Consider the following 19424-nt stretch of genomic DNA (forward strand, 5'->3'; position numbering starts at 1 on the left):
AACTGTCCCACTTTAGATGTCATTCTACCTTGGGTAATATAGTTCACCAGTTGCTGGTGGTTCCAGCCATTCCTGTGGTTTGCAGGTGCTGGGGACCTCATGTGTTCCCTCCTGTCAGAACCTTCTGTTGGGACACCATTTCATTCCCAGTGCTCTCTCTCCAAAGGTCTCCTCTCTAAGTAGCTTGAACTTTAGTGAGTCAGTATAGAGTTGCGTAATGGACTGAAGGGTCAGCTTCAAAACTCTGGAATTAAAGCCTTGTTAGAATTGGTAATTGGTATGGCAGCCTGACTCTTGGAATAAGGATAGCATCCTGCTTTTTAATAAGGGGATTTGGTAATTAGCTTGCAGGTAGAATTTGTCCATGTTTTTATTTCTGGATAACTTTAATGAAATAAAATACAGTATAATTAGATGTGGCATTTTAAGCTTGCATTATAATACTTTTATGTAAAATCTAAGCATGACTTATAAATGCCTATATTTTATTCTCACATCAGCATCCATATTAATGCAAGGCCCTTCCAGTTCCAACTCTCAAAACTACTACGCAGTGTGTACTTTGTAGGATTGCCTGAGCTTCTTGGTTTTATAGTCTATATAAAATGGTATAGAGACCCTCTTAATCATATGTTCTGTGGCATATTATTTAAAACATGAGCTAGGTTCAGGAAGCTGTATTTAGAATGAATTTGGTGCCTGTGTGAAATTAATTGTACATTTACCCCTGGTAATTTTCTCTCAGTAGATGGGACTTAACAGCAGTGAGGCCTGGTAATGGTGACACAAGATTCATTGAAGCAGTTAAATTGCTTTAGTCACTGGCAGCATATGCCACTTAAAATACATTAATGATGAGATTTTGCTGGTTTTTAAAACTGCTTTTTATTTTAGTTTGATAAGCTAATTAATTTGGAAGGGACTTATGGTTTTAGAAAGGTATACAGTGATTCAGGAAAATGGCAGAACTGGACCTTCTGCAGTCCAAATTCACATTACTCTATTTTGCAAATGCTTTAGATTAATCACTTGAGTCTTCTGGATTCGGGCCATGCAGATATTGACGTTTTTATTGATTTCTTAACCCAAGCATGGCTTTTAATTAAAAAAAAATGGAGCTTACTATGGGTATGACATAAAGTGGATGTATATTGTTGCTCTCTGCCAAGTAGATACAAAGACTGTGAGCATGTCTGTGCCACTTCAGCAGATGTTTGTGTTAGGAAATCTTTCATTTGCATATAACACCTCTAAGTAGAAAAGCAGTGGATTTGAGATTTGCTGGAATTTTTAAATTACTCATTAATTTTGCAAAGTGGATTTACAGCAATGCATATTATAACATTTTGAGATAATTGTAATTATTTTAAAACTGTTTTTAAAATATATAGATTTCTACTTGGTGTTTGAAATGGTGATCCTACAAGTGGTGCTCTTTGAGTTCATTCATTCATTCATTCGGGGGCTCAAGAGACTTGATATTTAGCTTCTGACATCCCCCTTCTACCACCGTGTTCCCTTTGTGAAAGGAACCACTACCTGCTCTCCACAGTGCTCACCACAGCTCCGTTATTACATCCAGCAAATAATCCCCATTTGCATCTCTTCCCCATTTGTGGGCTATACAGGCATCGTGATGAGATAGGTGAGAAGGCCAGAGTATGGAAGAGGCAAGAGCTGAGATTGGAGAATCTGAATTAGAGTGTCCAAAGGTGTGTGGTGAGCACAGGCCAGTGCCTGCAGGGCTCCCCTTCTTGGAAGCCAAGCAACAGCAGGATCCTGCACAGCTAAGCAGGTGGTCACATTGTCCTCCCCACAAGATCCATGCCCATCAGAAGGAAATTCCAGCCAAGGGCTGGGCAAGGACTTAGTTCTTGGGAACTTGATCCCCTGCATGAATTTTTCCAGCCAGAGGCTATTTAAACATCATATGTCCTTTAGTGTAGTTTATTTAGGGTGTTAAGGCAGAAACAAAATAAATGCCTACATGTATAAGCTGGTGATTCTTAGTGTGGTAAAACAAAAGAGACTTCTTCCGTTTGTTGACCTTTTAAAACAGGTGGTGAGTTGTATTTGCACACAAAGGGGAAATGCAGATGATTATCAGTTTTGTACAAATTTGTATTTGTTCTGTCTGCAGCCCAGGAACGTGCACTCTCAGGCCGCAGGGCCTTCTCTAAGGAGGTGCTGGCTCCCCTCACAACAGAGGCAGGCTAGCTTTTTTCTGATCCTTCCCCCAGGCTTGTGAGCTTCTTCCAACATTGCAGTCTCTTTACTACCCCAAATCCATGTAATTGTTGTTCACTCTGATTGGCTTTCTCTTCTCCACATAATATATTAAAATCTAATATTTGAAGTTTTGTATTTTAAACCATTTTGATTTTAGCACTTTAGCTGTAGACTTTGGATTACATTACTAAAATTGGGCTTATTTTTTTTCCATTGACAAGTATAATCTGCTCTTTTTTGTGATGTATTAGACAACTCTATGTGTAATGTGGCCGTAGGCTCCGTGGAGGATTCAATAAGCCAAAAATAAATTTTTTCAGCCTGAATTCTGCTTCTTAAAAGTGTATACTCTGGTTGGGAAGGTTTACAGATTTTACAAACATGTGTTGTCTCTATGGTACTGACTTTAAGCACAAAAGGATTTAAGAGAAGAGAGGTTAGCCACACTCAAGTAAAGTAAACCCTTTCACCGAAGGCCTAGGGTTTCAGCCAGACCTCTAGGATGGGGCCACATTTGGAGATGAAAGGTTAGGACAGAGAATAATATGGGCAGGGAAATCAGCACTGGCCCCAGAAGTGGCTGAGGAACATAGATATCCTACTCTGGGAAGCTGCAATCTAACCTGGAACAATTAGGTGAGCACACCTACTGAGTTGTTTTGAGGAATAGAAAGAAGCAAAACACTGAGTCCCAGGCTTAGCACATGGAGAGCACTCAAGAACTGGCAGAAGTAGCCATTGTTGCAGGAATGGTTATAGTGAGAGGAGTGGGCTGCGACTCAGGGCATCAGGAGACTTAGGCCTTCCCGTAGGCGAGACTGACACCACATCCTGCCCTGGACTCAGGGCCTTCCTACCCAGGAAGGAAGAGAGTAGACCACCCTCTTCCCTTCCAGCCTCCAGCTGGACACCTGTAGGCAAGTTACCTTATCTCTCTGGAACTGAAGATCTTGATAATACTCGTGTTATAGGATTGTTGAATACATAGTAACTGTGTAATTAATAAATTTGAGCTATATATGATTCCAAATTCCTAGGCCAGAAGATTCAGACAGTGGGACCATAAGGGAAATGGGCCAGTGACATAAGGAAGCTGGTCAGGAAGCCAGGGTGAATTTGGTTTTACAGGAATTTGAGGAAAGAGCTGAAAAAGAGATATGGTAGAGACCCAATTTATAAGTCAGAACACAGAGGATGCTGTTATCAAAAAAAAAAAAGTTTTGTTAACAGATTTATCTCCATGTGGCCGTTTGGTAGGCAGTGAACATTTTGTTACAGAAATACTCATTTGAACATTGACTGGTATTGCTATAGAATTGTAATTATTTGATTTTTAAATAAATATTATAGATAAAACAGCCAAAGTTGAAAAATCTTAAAATTTAATTATTTACCTATCTGTCCTTGTACTATCAACTTTGTCTTCATACTATTTTACATCCAAAAGACCTCTTGTACTGAGATGTTTCGAAAAATTCTTTTGAAGATGCTTGATATAAAAGTTATATGATCTGTCACCCCTCAATTGAAGAAACAAAAAAATGACTTATGCTTCTTTTAAAAACACATATACCTTACATAAACAGTTATTTTGATAAGTTAAAGAATTAGCTTATTTTGTCTTTCTTTTAGTTCCAAGGCCATCATTGGCTTTATTAAGATGACCAGTTCATTGAAAAGATTTTCTATTCTGACTATCAAAATTGGTCCGGCCAGAGGCTATAGAAGATAAGGCCCATTCCCTTTAAAAGTTTACCTTCTACTTGAGGAGATAAGACTGACCCACATAAAACAATTAGATAACTGAATAAGACTGTAATTAATTATGCTAAATTACAGGGTAGACACTATAAATACCGTAAGAGTTTAGAGAAGAGAGAACACTGAGGGCTGAACTAGGGTGGCTCATGAATGGTTTGGAACTTATGAGTGTTTTGTAGAAAGCTGAGTTTCCCTTTTATGTAATTCATTATTTAGTTTCTTTTCTTATTTTTCCAATCTAATTGTCCCCCTCCACATACACATTAATTTCTTTTCTTTTTTTTTTTTTTTTGAGATGGAGTCTCACTCTGTTGTCCAGGCTGGAGTGCAGTGATGCAGTGGCGCAATCTCAGCTCACTGCAACCTCCACCTCCGGGGTTCAAGCAATTCCCCTGCCTCAGCCTCCCAAGTAGCTGGGATTACAGGCGCCTGCCACCAGACCTGGCTAATTTTTTGTATTTTTAGTAGAGATGGGGTTTCACAGTATTAGCCAGGATGGTCTTGATCTCCTGACCTCATGATCCACCTGCCTCGGCCTCCCAAAGTGCTGGGATTACAGGCATGAGCCACTGTGTCCAGCCACACACATTAATTTCATATGCAGATAAACCATTTGGTTAAAAAAGGCCCCAGGAAGAAGTTATTTTCCTACAAGACAAGATAGGAAATAATAAACAAAGTGATCACATAATAAATTGTCAGTGGGGCAATTCTCCTTAATTTTAAAATAATTATGGAATTATTAAAATTTCTGACTTGAAGAGTTACTATTCTTTGTTTGCTCTGGTGGATGTGATGTGTCCCAGGGCAATAGCTTTGCCCCTGCATGCTGATGGATCTCTAAGAAACTTTCCTTCTCACTCCTGCATCAACCCCTGGATTGCATTTTTTCCCTCAACCCCAAGCAGTGCCAGAGTTAAAGATTAAAAAATGAGGAAAATAATTTTTTTTTCAAAGTTATCCTGAAATAGTGAAGAACCAGCACAGTGTAGGGGAAAGAAAATTAATGATTGAGAAGTTACTCTTAGAATTGATCATATTTTTCGCATTATGTGATTCAACTTGCATACCTTTTAAAATTCAATGCAATTTACTAGACAGTTATTACCAATTAAAGTTATATAACTACATCTTTAAATAGCTCTGTAGTATAGGAAGTCAGCAGGCTCTGTAATGTGCTGAATATGAAACTACATATCCACAGTTGAGAAACACAGTTTTCACACCAAATTTTGCCAGCCACTTAAGTACCATTATAATAGATCATAAATTAAAATGTATTAACATCATTATTTTCACTAGAATCTAAAGGATCACTAGTGTAATTTATAGGAGCTCGGTGCTTACCGTTAAGTTTTTCACTACTGGAGAAAACTGTGAATTTTATTGCAGTTTGCACTGGACACAGATGTAGACTGTGGCTTTATATATTTACTTTCAGGAAACATTTTGGTAGTAGTGAAAATGCTTTGCCAAAAGAGTGTTGTTGTGAAAGCAGTATTGTATGTCATTATGGTCCTATGATTTCACAATTAGAGATACCCTTGTTTTAAAGGCAGATGTAACCCATTACATATTTGAATTATTTGGAACCTTTAACCTGACTTTGAAAGCTTCCTGTTACAGAAATTGGAAATTTGTTTTCTTCACATGTAGCTGTTTTGGGTGCTGTAGGTTTATCCACATTGCAAATAACAGGAGAGTGTGAAATGGAATCATCTGAATAATTCCAGTCACAAAGTGCTTTGAGTGAGGTCATTTGATCATTTTTTAGATAAAAATATTCTGGAGATTATGGGGATCATTGCTTCAAATTTGTACTCTTATGTGAATACTTATACAAGACTTAAATGATCATTTTAATTAAATTGATGGGCTTTAAAATTAACACAAGACTTTGAGAAATGGTTTTTTTTCCCTATGGGTGTGGGGATGCAGCCTTCTGAAGCTTTTTGAGAGGGCAGCTGGCTATCTTTGACAGTTTCCTAGTATATCTTGGGCATCACATACGTTTGGTTGTGCATCAGTTAAACAAGACTCAGAGAGGGTGACGTTCATTCTGTTTCTTCTGTGATAGGATTATCTTTCAACAAATCCTAAGTGTTTAGAGTATTGCAGTGACACATTTATGATGGTATTTGTCTTTGTTATTCTTCCATGAAGAAATAATTTCAGACTGAAATGTATTTATTGAACAGGATCTAATGTACAGTGTACCAAATTCCAGGCAGTGTTTAGAGCAGTTTTCAAATATGAACTCATCTTATCATTGTAACAACCCTGTGAGGTAGGTACCATAAATAACATTTGGGGAATAGGTATTATTTTGATGGCTATTTTACAGGTGAGGAAACCGAGGCACAGAGGACATGCAGTGCTAGCTCACATCTTGTGGCGCATAGTATTTCTGTGGGTGATTCCTAAACTAGAAAGTTGATAAACTATTGAATTATTTTGTTCTACTCTGGTATAAAGAAAACCATTTCACAGCTATCAATAAAAGTTTTTTGTGTGCTTGATTTTGCTGTTTTTATTAATAAAATTGTGTTACTTATATCTATAAATTATGTAGTTTTCATTTCTTCCCTGTTTCCCAGATTGTCATTTCTCTTTTGGATAGCCTTAAAATTTCCTTCACAACTCTGTAAAACATTTATTCTCTGCCTTTACTCTGGCATTTAAGGTTGACATTTTCTCTTAGGAAGTGATAATCTTCCTCTTTGTCTTCTAAAGTTTATGTTAATAAGGCCATGATTCTAAACTTCTTAGAGGAAGGGAGGTGAGTTTGCAGATCCCTTTGAGAATCTAATCACAGTCTTGTAGAGCCTCTGAAACTCCCCTGTGACCTTTCAAAGACTAACATCTAAGTTAGAGATGCCTTTGTCTTTGAAAGCACAGGTGAATTTAGGGACTACAGTCCTTTAAAAGAGAATAACTTTTCCCATAAAACTGTCCATTATATGTAGTACATTTGCAGGCTGGTGGCCAAGTAAACAACTTGTAGATATAAGTGGATCACCTGTAATCCATCTGAACTAGAATTATCTTGTATTTTTTTCAATTGATACATTATTATTATATATATTTGTGGGAGTACATGTGATATTTTGATACATGCATACAATGTAAAATGATCAAATCAGGGTAATTAGGACATCAGTCATGTCAAACATTTATAATTTCTTTGTGTTGAGAATATTCCAAATCTCCTCTTTTGAAATATACAATAAAGTATTAATGACTATAGTCAACCTACTGTGCTGTCAAACTCTAGAACTTATTTCTTCTGTCATTTTATACCCATTAACCATCTTCTCTTTATTCCCCCTCCTTCCTGCCCTTCCCAAGCCTCTGATAACCACCATTCTACTCTCTACCTCCATGAGTTTAAGTTTTTTAGCTCTCACCTATGAGTACATGTGACATTCGTCTTTCTGTGTCTGATTTATTTAATGATGTCCTCCAGTTCCATCCATGTTGCTGCAAATGACAGTATTTTGTTCTTTTTATGGGTGAATAATATTCCATTATGTATACTTACCATATTTTAAAAACCTATCCATCCATTAATGGACTCTTAGATTGAGTCCATATTTTGGCTATTGTGAATAGCACTGTGATAAACATGGATGTGCCGGTATTTCTTCAATGCACTGATTTCCTTTCTTTTGGATATATATCCAGCAGAGGGATTACTGGATTATATGGTAGTTCTATTTTTAGCTTTTTTGAGAAACTTTCATACTGTTTTCCAAAATGGCTATACTAATTTACATTTCCACTAACAGTATACCTTTCTTCACATCTACACCAGCTTTTTTTTTCTCTTTTTGATAATAGCCAATTTAACAGGGATGCGATGATATCCTCATTGTGGTTTTGATAAGCATTTCCCTGATGATTAGTGATGCTGAGCGTTTTTTCATATACTTGTTGGCCATTTGTATGTATTTTTTGAAAATGTCTATTTAGATAATTTGCCCATTTTTAATTGCTTTTTTTTGCTGCTGTTATTAATGCCTCATTGGACAGTTTGCACATATTTTCTCCCATTCTGTAGACTCTCTCTTTTCACTCTGTTGATTGTTTCTTTTGCTGTTTTTACAAATGTAATCCCATTTATTTATTTTTGTTTTTGTGACTTGTGCTTTTGAAATCTTATCCTAAAAAACATCTTGCCCAGCTGAATTGTTTCCCCAGTGTTTTCTTCTAGTAGTTTCATAGTTTCAGGTCTTACATTTAAGTCTTTAATCCATTTTGATTTGATTTTTGTATATGGTAAGAGATAGGGATCTAGTTTTATTCTTTGCATATGGATATCTGGTTTTCCTAGCACTGTTTATTGAAGAGACTGTCCTTTCCTTAATGTATGTTCTTGGTGCCTTTGTTGAAAATTAGTTGGCTGTAAATGCATTGATTTATTTCTGGGTTCTCTGTTCTGTTCCATTGGTCTATGTGTCTGTTTTGATGCCCGTACCATGCTGTTTTGGTTACTATAGCTTTGTAGTATATTTTGTAGTCAGGTAGTATGATGATGCCTCCAGCTTTGTTCTTTTTACTCAGTATTGCTTTGGCTATTTGGGGTCTTTTGGGGTTCCATATGAATGTTAGGATTTTTTTTTTTACTTCTGTGCAGAATGTCATTGATAAGTATTGCATTAAATTGATAGATCATTTTGGGTAGTATGGACATCTTAACAATATTAATTCTTGTAATGCATGAACACGGGATGGCTTTCCATTGTTTTGGTGTATCTTCTTCAGTTTCATTAGTGCTCTATCATTTTCATTGTAGAGATATTTCACTTCTTTGGTTACATTTATTCCTATTTATTTTTATAACTATCATAAATGTGATTGCTTTCTTGATTTCACTATTGGCATATAGTAATGATACTAATTTTGATTTCACTGTTGACATACAGTAATGATACTATTAGTAAAGATACTAATTTTTTATCTTGCAACTTTGCTGAATTTGTTTATCAGTTCTAAGAGTTTGTTGATGGAGTCTTTAGATTTTTTTAAATATAAGATCATGTCATCTACAAACAAGGACAGTTTGACTTATTTCTTTCCAATTTGGATCCCCTTTCTCTCTTTCTGTTGCCTAATTACTCTGGCTAGGACTACAAATACTATGTTGAATAAAAGTGGTAAAAAATGGACATCCTTGTCCTGTTCCAGATCTTAGAGGAAAGACTTTGAATTTTTCCCCATCATCTGAACTAGAATTCTTATTGATCTTTTTCTGTATGTGACTTTCTTTTTTCTTTGGCTGCCTCAAAGCTTTCTCTTTAATTGGTTTTCAGCAGTGTAACTATGACATATCCAGGTGTGTGTGTGTGTTTGATCCTGCTTGAGCTTCTTATTCTTGAGCTGCTTAACTTGGAAAATTCTAGGACATTATCTCTTCAAATATTTTGTTGCCCTATTATCTCTCCTGTTTTTCCTACAGGGACTTTGTTTTCACGTATGTTAGATAACAGCTCTTAGATGCTCTGTTTTGTTTTTCTAAAAAAAATATGTATATACTCTTCTGTTTCCTTGTATTTTCATTTGGATAATTTCTATTGACCTATCTGCAAGTTTACAGATTCTTTTCTTGACTGTATTTAGTCTGCTTATTACCCTATCAAGGAATTCATCATCTCTGATGTGGGTTTTTTTTTTAACAGTATTTCCTTTGGACCATATTTTATAATTCCCATCTTTCTGTGGAAATATACCATCTGATCATGCATATTGTCCACTTTTTCCACTAGATCTTTTAACATATTAATCATAGTTGTTTTAATCTTCCCATTTAATAGTTTCAGCATCTTCTGAGTCACTTCTAGAGTCTGGCTCTGTTGATTGCTTTATCTCTTGACAATGTTTTTTTGTTGTTTTTGTTTTGTTTTTCTTTTTACTTTTTTGGTATGACCTGCAATTTTTATTGGATACAAAAATCATGGTTAATAGAGACTGAAGTAAATGATGTGCTCAGAAATGGGCATATCTCTTCTTCCAGGTCATTAGTGTTGGGAAGATTGAGTCAGTAATTGAGCCAGGTTTGGGATTTGTGTTGCCATTGTTACCTTCAATGTACCACTGGCTTCAAATTTCTCCACTGGTGGGCTACTGTTACCTTGTGTTTTGTGTGAAGGAAGCAGGTAGCATACTAGAGGGTTTACTCAGAGTTCCTGCTCTGCCCTCAGCTCTCACCTGTGAATGCCTGTGTCAGAAAGGGGTCTCTTCCCATGTTCTTGTCCCTCCTGTAATGGTAGACTGCTTGCATTTTGGTGCTAGGCTTCTGGTAGGGTCAGGGAGAAGTTTTGGTCCTGCTGATCCAGTTTCAGTCTTAGGCAGCCCTATGCACCTGGGCCTCAGGAATGGGCCTTCTCACCTGTCCTAACCTGCCCTGCTCCCTGTGGCAGCCAAACTCTGCCTGTATCTGTTTAGAATTTGGGCAGGTGATAGTTTTCTGCCACTCTACTGGTCATAGCAGAGCTGTGCTTTTGTTGATGCAAGCTCCTGATTACAAGAGGTTCTGCTACCCCCTGGGGCAATGGATCTTTGCCTGGTTCCAGAGGTGGATGGGTTCTGCTTCTACCCTTTTCCCAGTGGCCCTGTTCTACCCCCAGTTTTTCTCAGGAGCACCCATGGAGAAGATTTACAAATGAGTGCAAACTCTTCCTGTGTCTGGCACTCCCGGTTACCCTAGATGGATACACTGGGTCACACTTGGCTTTTAAGAATTCCTTAAAATTTTATCTGATTTCCTCTTACCTGCTTCCATGGTGGCCACATCTTCTTCCCACGCTCTACCAAACCCAGAACAGTTTCTTGTGTCCTATTTCTCCTTGGAGGGGCGTGTCACTCTTTGAAATTCCGTTCCCTTGGTTTCTGTGTGACCGTGGCTCTCTGATGCATACAAGAACAGTTATGATTTTATAGATTATTGGGCTTTTTCTTGTTAGGGTAGAAGTGATATTCTGTTTTGGCTTTCTGTGTTGTAAACCGCCATCTAAACTTTACTTGCCCCCACTTCATGACTTTTTAAGTCACCCATAGGCTCCTAAGATCTGAGCCCTCATAGACTCTGCAAAGCTAGGGCAGGGGTGAGCTTTTGGAATACAGAATACTGTAGAGGACATGACAGAAGAGGAGCGCCCATGGAGGAGAGGCATCCACAGGCCAAGGAGTTTCTGTTACTTGCAATAAAGGGCCTTTCCACATGAGCAAGAAGCAGCATTTAACTGTACCTAGCTTTCCTTTATATTATTTTATTCTTTTTCATTTCATTTTATTTTATAAAATGACCTTCAGAGTGACTGTCTTGCTCCAAATTCCCCCTTTTCTTCTTTTTTCTCATCTTAAAGAGCACATCAAAGTTTTAAAGATGTGTGAAAAACTTTGCAGGGTAGCCCTTATGTGCCTGGCATGACTTATTCTTTCAATTCAGAGTTATTGTTATTGAGCTGAAGAAAGGTCAGGCCTTGCTGTGCTCATTTAATGGACTTCAAGTTCTTTCTTGGGTTTTTTTGTTTAGTTTTGTATTGTTGTGTAAAAGAGAAATTTTTCTAACCCCCAGTTTCTCAACTCTAATTCTAAATCCCCCTTGATAAACATGGTGATCCCCTACCTTTCTTTAATGTTATTTATATTTCAGATTAAATAACTTGATTCAAGCAAACCAGAGAGATAAATGGCTGCTTTGTTTTCATACTACACCCTCTCCCCATTCTGAGCCACCCCATGCCCACACCCTAGCCCCACACCAGAATGACTGCTTAGACTTGGTGACTGTTTTGCCAGGGTATTGAATCTGGATATTGAAACATCATTTTCTCATGATGTTTTTTGAGGAATAATCAAACAGAAAATGGGAACAAATGAGGCTTGAAAGACAGGAGTCTTTCAAGTGGAAGTCTTTCAAGTCTTTCAAATGGAATAGGAAACAGGAGGTAATTTTCTTCCAGCAGGGCATTAACTATCTGTGTGCCCTTAGACAAGACTGCAGCTCCACAACTTGGTTTCTTGTTCCTCTTCTCCAGAGCGAGCTAAATCGATTGAATCAGTGCCAGACACTTTGTTGCCAGCCGATGAAATGAGGTTCACCTATTCCTTATCCCGTTTCAGGATGAGAATTTATGAAATTACCCATGCCCATTTATGAAATTGCCACTACCTAAGTATCCCAGATGGTAATTTTAGTGGCCTCCTATTTTTAGTGACAGCCTTCTATTAAATAAAGTAGGCAGTTATGTTAGAAAGATGTATGTTTTTCCATAGGACTCAATATGGCTATTTATGTTTTTAATGCTAAATATGAGTCGTATAAACATTTCTATTTTTCCTGAATTTGCTGTGGTGCAGAATGTTTCCCTAGTCTCTTTCTAGTTCATTGCTTTATCTAAAATCATTCCCGGTATGAAATTGTTATTCTGTTGGCTAATGTACAAATGAACCTTTGTTTCTTTCTAGTTCTAAATTTTAAGATTGTCAAGAAATGCAAAATTTCAGGGTTGATATGGAGGTAGGTTCTTTGGAAGCCGGTTTTCTTGCAGTCCGGACATTGTTTGTGTATTCTTTCTCTTGAGGTTACTAAGTTCTAATAGAGTAGCAGAATTGCACCAAGTTTCCCTTCTGTTGTATTCACCACTCAGAAGCTTTGGGTGATGAGTACTCCTTCACAGTATAACAGCCAATTCTGAGAAATAGTTTATACTATTTTTTAAAAGTATTTTGAGGCACAAGTGTCTCAGCAGAAACCTGCATTTTTTCCTCTGGTTTTAGATGGTTAATGCATGTGAGTATTATGCATTTAATGTTCTTCCAGTTAAAAAGGTATATGTATAGCACATGTAGGTTGAATAATCTTCATTATTTAGTTTAAACTAACTTGCATTACAAGGCAGCATAAACAATAGATCCCAGCTCTCTGCTTCTGACCAGCTACTTAGCTTAGGCAAGTATTTGATCACTGCCAGGCTGAACAATGAAAGACAAGTTGAAATGAGTAAGAGTGGGATAAGGATTCCAGGAATTAGGCAATTTGGGGCTCAGTCTCCTGCCATTGAACACCAGTTCTCCTTCCCTCCCACACAAGTGCTTCTGTCCTCCCCTTCCTTTTCTGCTGACTGTGGAAGACCATTTCGCCAGCTTCTCCTGTATTCACATCCACTTGTTGCTCCCAGCCAGAGATTCTGGTCCACCCATTAAGGAGTGCAAGCTCACATCTGTTCTCTTCCTTATTGGTCTCTAAACAAGCATACTCCTCTATTGGTGTTTTCTGATCACTTTATCTGCTAGTGAGGAAGGAGAAGCAGATTCAGGCCTTGGTGTGCTATGGAGACAGTTCTAGGCAACAGCAGATGGAGGGAGAGGAAGAGACAGGAAGTCTCTGCTAAGGGGTGTCCTTGATGTCATTATATCTGCCCGTGGTTGGGTGGTCATCATGTTCATGTGTCTGCAATTGATAACCAGAAGTCTCCATTCAAAGCCTGGGCTGGTTTGTGAAAAGCATGGCAATGTTCTTAAAGCCACAGTGTGGTGTTTAAGCTGCTGCCTGTTCCACATACATGGGTATGTGAGCATGTGTGTATGTTATTAACTTACTTTGCTATTAGGCCTTTTCCCTCTTAATAAAAAAGAAACCTGTTTATCTGAAATGTATCATTTATAACAAATTAGAAAGTGTAACAGAATATTAATCAGCCTGTAAAAATGAAAGAATAAAAGATTACAATGTTGGGAAAATACTATATATTTCTTAATGGATCAGTGGATAAACCACATCCATATATTTTTGTAATTGTTCTACTAGTGTCATCTTTGAGACACGATATATAAAGATTATAAAATTCCCTAACTGAGTCAGTATGTTGTCTTTATCAAAGGTAAATGCGTCTTTTAAAAACTAAAGACATCGGTCAGGCGTGGTGGCTCACACCTGTAATCCTAGCACTTTGGGAGGCTGACGCAGACGGATCACGAGGTCAGGAGATCGAGACCATCCTGGCTAACATGGTGAAACCCCGTCTCTACTGGGAAAAAAAAACTAAAGACGTCATTCTGAAAAATAGAAAATTATACATTTGTTTCATGTCCTTATGCATGGCTGATTACAAAACTAATTTCATGCTAACTCACTCAAATTGATGTAATACAATCTATGCTTTAGGGATTTGAAATGGCTTTAATATAATGTATCTTACAGATACAATTACCACAGTTTTTATGTATTTTGCACTTTATTGTTCTGAGGATATAATTGTAAAGAAATATTCTACCTTGTGGCTTTTATGTTTTGTCTTGGCACCCAGATCACAAAAGCTTCTATGGTTCATTTTGAAACTTTGAGGAAAATGATACCCATATGATTTAAAGTTTAAGTTTAATTACCTTCTGCAAATTGCTTTTGGAAGTATAGGTAGTTAGAAAGTAAAAGTGGTTTTAAATTTCAGAGATAGAGTATAGCATAATAGCTTTTTAAAATACAGATATTTTCTATCCAGAGCAGGAAAATTAGAATTGCCTTTGGATAATATTCAACAATGTTCTTTTCTTTGTCATGAAAGTGATATAATTCCAACTCCCATCCCTATTTCTTATTTATAAATACAATGAATACTGAAAATTTGTCATAGATTTTATACACATACTGAAAGGCAGTATCATCTTTTAGGTTTAAAATTGTGAAAGATCTTTTGAGGTAATTTGAGCACTCTTTTCAAATAATAAAGGTCTCCATACAAGGAAGGACTTAAATACACACACAGATGTGGATGTCAGCCCCTTAAGATGAGAACATGTTACCTTAAGCAGGAAAGTTGAACAGTGCCTTACTGGTGATGCTAACTTCTTTAGAAATAAGTGCTGCCTGAAGTTTTAAACTTAGTCCTTTTAATAATCTATTAATATTAAGGTACAAGGTGACATTGTTCTGAGCATTGGGGCATAGTAATAGGTTTTAATAAATCCAACTCTACGATTTTAGGAGCTCCAACAGCTATAATCTAGCCCTTCATCTCAGACTTACATGTCTATCTGATGTATACTGATGACTGATCTAGTATGAGACTTTGGAGAGAGGAATTTCTGCTGGAATTCCCATTTAACAGTTACTTAATTGGTTTCTACTTAGCTGTTTCTCATCATTTGGTGCAAATAGTTTCCAGAAATAGTCTAGACGTCTTAGCCCAAGTAGTCAGGAAATGGTTTTTAAACTTTAGTGTACATCCTCCGTCACATGGAGTGCTACCTTGATGTAAATTCCTGGGCACCAGCCCCAGGGAGCTGGTTCCATGGGCCTAGCAATCTGCATTGTAACCAGGTAACCCAGATGATTCTGAGGCAGGTGGTCTGGTGACAAGCCTTTGAGAAGTATTGGTGTAGGAGGCGTACGTAGAAACAGGGCCTGTTTCATGGTGTATGACCTGTACAGTTGCACAGGCTTCACACTGACTCAGAAGAGCCCTGGGCTTCACTTAGCTCCTCTGTCACCTTGAAATTCTTAATAATTTTTAATCAGGGAATCCTGCATTTTCACTTTTCTCTGGGCTCTGAAAATTGTTTCTTTCTTTCTATTTTTTGAGACAGGATCTTGTTCTGTTGTCCACATTGGAGTGCTGTGGCAAGATCATAGCTCATTGCAGCCTCAATCTCCTGGGCTCAAGCAATCTTCCCATCTCAGCCCCCTGAATAGCTAGGACTACAGGCATGAGCCACCATATCTGGCTAATTAATTTTTTTTTTTTTTGAGACGGATTCTCACTCTGTTGCCCAGGCTGGAGTGCAGTGACACAATCTCAGCTCACTGCAACCTTTGCCTCACGGATTCAAACGATTCTCCTGCCTCAGCCTCCCGAGTAGGTGGGATTACAGGCACCCGCCACCATGCCCGGCTAATTTTTGTATTTTTAGTAGAGACAGGGTTTCAGCACGTTGGCCAGGCTGGTCTCAAACTTCTGACCTTGGGTGATCTGCCCCTTCTTGGCCTCCCAAAGTGCTGGGATTACAGGCATGAGCCACCATGCCCGGCCAAAAAAAATTTTTTTTTGTAGAGATGGGATCTCACTGTATTACCCAGGTTGGTCTCAAACTCCTCACCTCAAGCAATCCTCCTGCCTTAGCCTCCCAAAGTGCTGAGTTTATAGGTGTGAACCTCCGTCCCTGGCCTGAAATTGTTCTTCTTGATAAATATGAATTGCAATTATTCAATAATGATTTCATACCTGTTGGTATTAGGCTGTCAACTGCAAGGCCAATTCTGAGCTTTAGAGATGAATGAGTATCATTCATCACAGGAATCTAGAATAGGAAATCTTAATAGTATGATTTTTTTCTAGGAAATTAAATTTCTATTCATAATCTTGAACATAGAAACCTATATTTATGTTATTCTAATATACGGTCTTTTTTTCCTCTCAGGATGGTACAAAACAGAAGAGGGAACGGAAAAAGACAGTCTCATTCAGCAGCATGCCAACAGAGAAGAAGATCAGCAGTGCAAGTGATTGTATTAATTCAATGGTTGAGGGTTCAGAACTCAAAAAGGTTCGCTCCAACTCTAGAATTTATCATAGGTACTTTTTACTGGATGCTGACATGCAGAGCCTAAGGTGGGAGCCATCTAAGAAGGATTCTGAGAAAGCCAAGATTGACATTAAATCCATCAAGGAAGTGAGAACAGGAAAAAACACAGACATATTCCGCAGCAATGGCATTTCTGACCAGATATCTGAAGATTGTGCGTTTTCCGTCATATATGGAGAGAATTATGAGTCACTGGATTTGGTTGCCAACTCCGCAGATGTTGCAAACATCTGGGTTACAGGACTGCGGTACCTAATTTCTTATGGAAAACATACACTTGATATGTTAGAAAGTAGCCAAGATAACATGAGGACTTCTTGGGTTTCACAAATGTTTAGTGAAATTGATGTAGATAACCTTGGACATATAACTCTGTGTAATGCTGTGCAATGTATCAGAAACCTCAATCCTGGTTTAAAAACGAGCAAAATTGAGCTTAAGTTCAAAGAATTGCATAAATCAAAGGACAAAGCTGGTACCGAGGTCACAAAGGAAGAATTTATTGAGGTTTTTCATGAGCTTTGTACTAGACCTGAAATTTATTTCCTTTTAGTTCAGTTTTCAAGCAATAAAGAATTCCTTGATACCAAGGACCTTATGATGTTTCTTGAGGCAGAACAGGGTGTGGCACATATAAATGAGGAAATAAGCCTTGAAATTATTCACAAATATGAACCATCCAAAGAGGGTCAGGAAAAGGGCTGGCTCTCCATAGACGGGTTCACTAATTACCTTATGTCACCTGACTGTTATATATTCGATCCAGAACATAAGAAGGTCTGTCAGGATATGAAGCAACCTCTGTCTCATTACTTTATAAACTCATCTCATAATACATACTTAATAGAGGATCAGTTCCGAGGTCCCTCCGACATCACAGGATATATTCGAGCTCTTAAAATGGGTTGCCGGAGTGTTGAATTAGATGTATGGGATGGGCCGGACAATGAACCTGTAATTTACACAGGCCACACCATGACCTCTCAGATAGTTTTCCGCAGTGTCATTGATATTATTAACAAGTATGCATTCTTTGCTTCAGAGTATCCTCTTATCTTGTGTTTAGAAAACCACTGTTCCATTAAACAACAGAAGGTAATGGTTCAGCACATGAAGAAACTTTTAGGAGACAAGCTCTATACAACATCACCCAATGTTGAGGAATCTTATCTACCATCCCCAGATGTCCTGAAAGGGAAAATACTAATTAAAGCAAAGAAGCTGTCCTCAAATTGCTCTGGGGTAGAAGGAGATGTTACTGACGAAGATGAAGGAGCAGAAATGTCTCAGAGGATGGGAAAAGAGAACATGGAGCAACCCAATAATGTGCCTGTGAAGCGATTTCAGCTTTGTAAAGAACTGTCTGAACTGGTCAGCATCTGCAAATCAGTTCAGTTCAAAGAATTTCAGGTGTCGTTTCAGGTTCAGAAGTACTGGGAAGTCTGTTCCTTTAATGAAGTGCTTGCCAGCAAGTACGCCAATGAAAATCCAGGGGACTTTGTAAATTACAACAAACGTTTTCTTGCTAGGGTTTTTCCCAGTCCAATGAGAATTGATTCCAGTAACATGAATCCTCAAGATTTTTGGAAATGTGGTTGCCAAATTGTAGCCATGAACTTTCAGACACCAGGACTGATGATGGACCTGAATATTGGCTGGTTTAGGCAGAACGGAAACTGTGGCTATGTCCTCCGGCCAGCCATCATGAGGGAGGAGGTCTCCTTCTTCAGCGCCAATACAAAAGACTCTGTCCCAGGGGTCTCACCTCAACTTCTTCACATTAAAATCATCAGTGGGCAGAACTTTCCCAAGCCCAAAGGATCAGGTGCCAAAGGTGATGTGGTAGATCCTTATGTCTATGTTGAAATCCATGGAATCCCTGCTGATTGTGCAGAACAAAGGACAAAAACAGTGCACCAGAATGGAGACGCTCCCATTTTTGATGAAAGCTTTGAATTTCAAATCAACCTGCCTGAACTGGCCATGGTGCGCTTTGTAGTGCTGGATGATGACTACATTGGGGATGAATTCATCGGCCAGTACACAATTCCCTTTGAATGTTTACAGACGGGCTACCGCCATGTCCCCCTGCAGTCCTTAACTGGAGAGGTCCTTGCACATGCTTCTTTATTTGTCCACGTGGCTATTACTAACCGAAGAGGAGGAGGAAAGCCTCATAAAAGGGGCCTTTCTGTGAGAAAAGGGAAGAAATCCAGGGAATATGCATCTTTGAGAACACTGTGGATTAAAACCGTGGATGAGGTATTCAAGAATGCCCAGCCCCCTATACGGGATGCCACAGATCTGAGAGAAAACATGCAGGTGCGTGCTTGTGTTTAATCATTTACTCAATGGTTTTCCTACTTTGTACATGTCCATAGTTTATAAATATATTGGTTTTTTAATAATAGTATATTTAAGTAGTTTTTAAATTCTGATTAGTTCTTAGAATGTTTGCCACTAGTCTGTTTTTTATCATTTAACTTCCTAAAGGTACAGTTGATGTTGAAAATATTGATTACATATTGGGATAAGTGAGTCTCGTTGCTGTGTTACACACCTTCATCCCAGTCCCTGTTAATGACTGCTGAACAGTTCCTTGTTTTTTTCTAATAGTATACATGGGAATCTCTGGGATTTCTGAATATTCCTTACCTGGAACACAAATTGATGATCTATCAAAATAAAAAGGATATAGGTCAAAGTAAAATGGATGTGATCCAGTCCTTTCTTACGAAGCTGTAATGCTGAGGAGATGGGAAACCTTTAAATGAGCCATAAATATATGTGTATGCATAGTGAGCCTCCTTTTGATTTGAGAGGATAGCTAATTCTGTAAGTAAAAGAGATGT

General features: G+C 38.1%; 1 protein-coding gene across 5 annotated transcripts in view, besides 1 other annotated feature; it reads left to right on the forward strand.

The window, feature by feature from the left end:
- The window catches only part of PLCL2 (phospholipase C like 2), a 205652-nt gene that overhangs the window by 108312 nt on the left and 77916 nt on the right, over positions 1-19424 (forward strand). For all 5 annotated transcript variants that reach the window (NM_001144382.2, XM_047447799.1, XM_017006025.2 and 2 more), the window contains one exon: positions 16408-18894. In NM_001144382.2, the coding sequence (NP_001137854.1) occupies positions 16408-18894 (2487 nt within the window). The remainder of the gene's footprint in view (positions 1-16407; positions 18895-19424) is intronic.
- Positions 6625-7150: an enhancer, noted in NCBI's record as "OCT4-NANOG hESC enhancer chr3:17041383-17041908 (GRCh37/hg19 assembly coordinates)". NCBI's record gives its function as "activates a minimal SCP1, AML or CMV promoter by ChIP-STARR-seq in naive H9 embryonic stem cells {active_cell/tissue: H9 hESC(naive)}" and the evidence as "EXISTENCE:reporter gene assay evidence [ECO:0000049][PMID:30033119]".

The sequence above is a fragment of the Homo sapiens genome, chromosome 3 (genome assembly GCF_000001405.40).
Source record: "Homo sapiens chromosome 3, GRCh38.p14 Primary Assembly".
Classification (NCBI taxonomy): domain Eukaryota; kingdom Metazoa; phylum Chordata; class Mammalia; order Primates; family Hominidae; genus Homo; species Homo sapiens.